Genomic DNA, 6,553 nt, shown 5'->3' on the forward strand with positions numbered 1-6,553 from the left:
GGGTCCACACACTCGTACATCCACACACGATCATATTCATGGAATATCTCTGGAAGTATATTGGAAACGGTCATCAGGTTTGCTTGCGGGAAGGGTGTCCGGGGATCAGGGAGAGAGAACGCTTACTTTCACTCTGTAGTCTTTTATTCTCTGTGTCTATGAACGTTTTTTCTGACTGCATTCCCTTTTTTTTTTTTTTTTTTTTTTTTTGAGATGGAGTCTCACTCTTTCGCCCAGGCTGGAGGGCAGTGGTGCTATCTTGGCTCACTGGAACCTCTGCCTCCCGGGTTCAAGCAATTCTCCTGCCTCAGCCTCCCGAGTAGCTGGGACTACTAGCACGTGCCACCATGCCCGGCTAATTTTTTGTGTGCCTTTTTTTTTTTTTTTTTTTTTTGAGACGGGGTCTTGCTCTGTCCCCCAGGCTGGAGTGCAGTGGCGCGATCTCGGCTCACTGCAATCTCTGCCTTCTGGGTTCATGCCATTCTCCTGCCTCAGCCTCCCGAGTAGCTGGGGCTACAGGCGCCAGCCACTGCACCCAGCTAATTTTTTGTATTTTTAGTAGAGACGAGGTTTCACCGTGGTCTCGATCTCCTGACCTCGTGATCCGCCCGCCTCGGCCTCCCAAAGTGCTGGGATTACAGGCGTGAGCCACTGCGCCCGGCCTTTGTGTGCATTTTTAGTAGAGACGGGGTTTCACCATGTTGGCCGGGCTGGTCTCAAACTCCTGACCTCAAGTGATCCACCTGCCTTGGCCTCCCAAAGTGCTGGGATGACAGGCGTGAGCCACCACTCCTGGCCATTATTTTTTAAATTAAAAAATTATGGCCAGAAGGTGAAAATAGAAAAGCTCCCATCCTATGTACCCATTTTCCTGACGTGGCAAACTAAGGCCTTAAGGGATAGGGTGGAGTATTTGTTGGATATGCAAGCAATTTCTCCTCTCTGAGCCTCAGTTTCCTTTTTTATTTATTTTTTGAGACAGGCTGTCACTCTGTCACCCAGGCTGGAGTGCAGTGGTATGATAATAGCTCACTGCAGGCTCAGACTCCTGGGCTCAAGCAATCCCCCTGCTTCAGCCTCCTGAGTTGCTGAGACCACGTGTGACACATCACACATGGCTAATTTTTTTTTTAATTTTTTTTGGCAGGTGGGTGACGCCTGTAATTCCAGCACTTTGGGAGGCCAAGGCAGGCAGATCATTTAAGGTCAGGAGTTGGAGACCAGCCTAACCAACATGGTGAAACCCTGTCTATACTAAAAATACACAAAAATTAGCCGGGGGTGGTGGCGCATGTCTGTAGTCCCAGCTACTCAGGAGGCTGCGGCAGGAGAATTGCTTAAACCCAGGAGGCGGAGGTTGCAGTGAGCTGATATCGTGCCACTGCATTCCAGCCTGGGCGACAGAGCAAGACTCCATCTCAAAAAAATAAACAGGCTGGGCCCGGTGGCTCACGCCCATAATCCCAGCAGTTTGGGGGGCTGAGGTGGGCAGATCACTTGAGGTCAGGAGTTTGAGACCAGCCTGGCCAACATGGTGAAACCCCATGTCTACTAAAAATACAAAAAAATTAGCCAGGTGTGGTTCCTGTAATCCTAGCTACTCAGGTGGCTGAGGCAGGAGAATTGCTTTAGCCCAGGGCACGGAGGTTACAGTGAGCCAAGATCACGCCACTGCACTCCAGCCTGGGCGACAGAGTAAGACTCTATCTCAAAAAAAATAAATAAATAAATTTTTTTTTGTAGAGATAGGTTCATCCTATGTTCCCCAAGTTGGTCTCAAACTCCTAGGCTCCAGCAATCCTCCTGAAGCCCTGGGATTACAGGTATGAGTCACCACATCCGGCCAGTTTCCTCATTTTTAGGTGGGGCTGGTAATAGTGCCTACCTTGGGGGGTCAGCTACAAAGATTCTGGGGCTCTGCTACTCCTTGGCTGTGTGACCTAAGACAAGTTACTCAGCCTCTCTGTGCCTCATCTTTTTCACCTGTGGAATGGAGCGAATCATCGCAGCTGGTGTGAAGATTAACAATTTGTATATAGGAGTTGGCACAGGGCCAGTCTGGGGTAAGAACTCAAACATCAGCCATTGTTGGCGTTGTGCAAAAGTACTTGGAACACCGCTGGCCTAAAGGAAGGTTTTCCTGGCCAGGTGTGGTGGCTCACGCCTGTAATCCCAGCACTTTGGGAGGCCGAGGCAGGCAGATCACGAGGTCAGGAGATCAAGACCATTCTGGCTAACACGGTGAAACCCCGTCTCTACTAAAAATACAAAAATTAGCTGGGCATGGCGGTACGTGCCTATAGTCCCAGCTACTCCGGAGGCTGAGGCAGGAGAATTGTATGAACCTGGGAGGCGGAAGTTGTAGTGAGCCGAGATTGTGCCACTGCACTCCAGCCGGGGAGAAAGAGCATGACTCCGTCTCAAAAAAACAAAAACAACAACAGCAGCAACAAAAGCAAGAAAGGTTTTCCTTAGTTAACACTTTCTTCTTCTTTCAATCTTTATCTCATTTAAGTCTCACCTCAATGCTGTGTGATGAGTGTGATCATCCCCATTTTACTAGACGAGGAGACAGAGGCTCAGCCAGAGATCATTGTTCCCCCGGTTTACATGGAACAGAAATGGCAGGGCCAGGATTTAAACCTAGATCTGCCTGGCTCCCCGCCCGGCTCCATCCCCTGCCCTCCCCCAACACACATAGTATTTACCGGGTGCTACCCTGTTCTAAGCCTTTTCTGGGGGATTATACAGTAATCCTCACCACAGCCTTAAAGTAGGGTACCCTGTGAGTCTCGTTTGACAGACTAGAAATCTGAGGTCCAGAGAGGTTACTTCTTGGCTCAGAGGGTCACACAGCTAGCAAATGACCCAGCTGAGATTTGTCCCTGCTGGCCTGGCTCCAGTCCCTGCACTGCCTGTGGTAAGCGTGTAGCAGATCCAGATCCAATGTCCAGCGTCGTGAGGCCAAAAAAATGGGGGGCAGGGGGAAGGCTCTGCTGCCCCTCGATCCTGTGCTGTTGAAATAGCTGGAGCTAGCACTTTGGAAGGCCGAGGCGGGTAGATCACCTGAGGTCAGGAGTTCGAGACCAGCCTGGCCAACATGGCGAAACCCTGTCTATACTAAAAATATAAAAATTACCTGGGCGTGATGGTGCACACCTGTAATCCCAGCTACTCTGGAGGCTGAGGCAGGAGAATCATTTGAACCCGGGAGATGGAGGTTTCAGTGAGCCGAGATCATGCCATTGCACTCCAGCCTGGGCAACAGAGACACTGTCTTTTTTTTTTTTTTTTTAGGGGATGGAGTTTTGCTCTTGTTGCCCAGGCTGGAGTGCAATGACGCCATCTTGGCTCACTGCAACCTCCGCCTCCCTGGTTCAAGTGATTCTCCTGTCTTAGCCTCCTGACAAGCTGGAATTACAGGCCCATGCCACCAAGCCCGGCTAATTTTTGTAATTTTAGTAGAGACACGGTTTCATCATATTGGTCAGGCTGGTCTCGCCCTCCTGATCTCAGGTGATCCGCCCTCCTGATCTCAGGTGATCCGCCCTCCTAGGCCTCCCAAAGTGCTGGGATTATAGGCATGAGCCACCACTCCCAGTGAGATGCTGTCTTAATTAAAAAAAGGAAGAAAGAAAGAAATAGCTGGAGCTTGGCACAGTGGCTCATGCCTGTAATCCCAGGACTTTGGGAGGCCAAGGCAGGAGGATCGCTTGAGGTCAGGAGTTCAAAACCAGCCTGGGCAATATAGGGAGACCCCCATCTTTACAAAAAACAACAAAAAGTAGCTGGGTATGGTGGTGCATTTGTAGTCCCAGCTACCTGGGACTTGGGAGGCTGAGGAGGGAGCATTGCTTAAACCCGGGAAATCAAGGCTGCAGTGAGTTACGACTGCCACTGCACTCCAGCCTGGGTGACAGAGTGACACCTGTCTTTTAAAAAAGCTAGAGTAGGCCGGGCATGGTGGCTGACGCCTATAATCCCAGCACTCTGGGAGGCCGAAGTGGGTGGATCACCTGAGGTCAAGAGTTCAAGACCAGCCTGGCCAACATGGGAAACTCCATTTCTACAAAAATATAAAAATTAGCAAGGCATGATGGTGGGTGCCTGTAATCCCAGCTGCTTGGGAGGCTGGGGCGGGAGAATCGCTTGAACCTGGGAAGCGGAGGTTACACAATGAGCCAAGATCGTGCCACTGCACTCCAGCCTGGGCAACAGAGCAAGACTGTCTTAAAAAAAAAAAAATGCTGGAGTAGTTAGGATATGAGTTTGAATTTTTATTTCCATGATTCAATCAGCACCTATTCTCCCAAATGCCTTCTCTGCGTTGGGCCTGTGCTAGGTGGCACTGGGGACACAGTGGAGACTGACATGGCCCCTGGCCGCCTCCTCCCTTCTTGGGGCTCATAGTCTAATATGGGACTGACCTGTCTCCCCACACTGATGACCCAGAGTTGGCAGGGCTGGATGTGGGAGCCCAAGAGCCTGGAAACCTGGGAAATAAGAAAGGGCTTCCTGGAGGAGGAAGCATCAGCACTGGGGCTCAGACAACAGGGAAGTAGAGGGCACGTTGGCTGCAATTCGGAGGGAGCGCGGAGCTGTGCCGAGTCTGGAGTTTGGTCCACGGACCAGCAGCGCCCTCTGCTGGAAGCATTTCATAGTGTAGTGACCGGGGTACCGCGCGCATTGAGCCATGTATGTATGTATGCATTTATTTATTTTTGAGATGGAGTTTCGCTCTTGTTGCCCAGGCAGGAGTGTAATGGTGTGATCTCGGCTCACTGCAACCTCTGCCTCTGGGGTTCAAGCGATTCGCCTGCCTCAGCCTCCCAAGTAGCTGGGATTACAGGCGTGCGCTACCACACCCGGCTAATTTTGTATTTTTAGTAGAGATAGGGTTTCACCATGTTGGCCAGGCTGGTCTCGAACTCCTGACCTCAAGTGATCCAGCCCCCTCGGCCTCCCAAAGTGCTGGGATTACAGGTGTGAGCCACTGCGCCGTCCTCAAGTTATATTAGAATCGTGTCCTCCCAGCTTTGGCCAGCTTACTATTCTAGGACTTGATTCCTTCATTCAGTCACAATTTATTGAGCACCGACTTTGCATCAAGCTCTTGCTGAAGATAACAGTGCTGACAATATACAGCCCTGCCCTCAGAGCTTATATAGTAGAGGAGAAAAAGTGAACCCATAATATACAGTCAGTAGCGAGTATTTACTAAGTACTTTCTATTTGCGAGGCCCTGATAAAAGTACTGTCCTGGCCAGGCGCGGTGGCTCACGCCTGTAATTCCAGCACTTTGGGAGGTCGAGGTGGGCAGATCACCTAAGGTCAGGAGTTCGAGATCAGCCTGGCTAACATGGGGAAACCCCGTCTCTACTAAAAATGGAAAAATTAGCTGGGCATGGTGGCGGGCGCCTGTAATCCCAGCTACTCGGGAGGCTGAGACAGGAGAATGACTTGAACCCAGGAGTTGCAGTGAGCCAAGATAAGATAGCGCCATTGTACTCCAGCCTGGGTAACACAGCGAGACTGTGTCTCAAAAAAAAAAAAAAAAAAAAAAAAGTACTGTCCCTGTATTAGTTAACATTCAATTCTCAAAGCCTTAGACTATTTATATTTTATTGACTAGGGAAACTGAGGCACAGAGAGGTTAAGTTACTTGCCCAAGGCCTGCACAGCAAGTAAGTGCCGGAATCAAATTTGAACCCTGAGCCCAATTCTTAGATATCACATTCCCTTGCCAATAACATAATATATAACATAACATAATGATGTGATATATGTTATATAAAATAACTTTAGGGGCCGGGGGCGGTGGCTCACTCCTGTAATCCCAGAACTTTGGGAGGCCGAGGCGGGAGGATCACTTGAGGTCAGGAGTTTGAGACCAGCCTGGCCGACATGGCGAAACCCCGTCTCTACTAGAAATATAAAAAGTAGCCGGGCGTGGTGGCAGACACTTGTAGTCGCAGCTACTCGGGAGACTGAGATGGGAGAATCGCTTGAACTTGGGAGGTGGAGGTTGCAGTGAGCCGAGATCGCGCTACTGCACTCCAGCCTGGGTGACGGAGCGAGACTCCCTCTCAATAAATAAATAAGGTAATTTTAGGCCCTGAAAAGTTTTGTGAACAAAATCAAGAGGAGTATGTAATGTTTTGGTGGAAGGGTGCCATTTAGAAGGGGGCAATCAGGGAAGGCCTGCCGGAGGAGGTGGCCTTTGAGAAGAGACCTAAAGACGATGAGATCTGTGGGAAGAGAGATCGAAGCAGGCCACACAACCAAGGAAAAGGCTCTGGGGCAGGCACTGCAAGAAAGCCACCTGTCTGGGATCTAAAGTTTCCAAAGTTTTAGCTTGGCCAAGGCCCCTGCGCTACAATCACCCTGATTCGAGGTGTCCTGGAGGTTACCAGTTCCGCGTGCGAAGTTCTGCCATTCCCGCGGGGCTGGAGCCCCGAGGCTGAACTTCCCACGGGCGGTGGGCGTGGCCGGCTCACCTGCGGGGGCGTGGCTCCCGGCTGCCCCGCCCCTCGGAGGAGCCGCCCGAGGTCCC

General features: G+C 50.8%; 1 annotated feature.

Annotated features, from left to right (window-relative positions):
• Positions 6,450-6,539: a silencer, noted in NCBI's record as "silent region_10761". NCBI's record gives its function as "represses an Ori minimal core promoter by ATAC-STARR-seq in GM12878 lymphoblastoid cells {active_cell/tissue: GM12878}" and the evidence as "EXISTENCE:reporter gene assay evidence [ECO:0000049][PMID:35858748]".

Source organism: Homo sapiens, chromosome 19 (genome assembly GCF_000001405.40).
Source record: "Homo sapiens chromosome 19, GRCh38.p14 Primary Assembly".
In the NCBI taxonomy this organism is placed as follows: domain Eukaryota; kingdom Metazoa; phylum Chordata; class Mammalia; order Primates; family Hominidae; genus Homo; species Homo sapiens.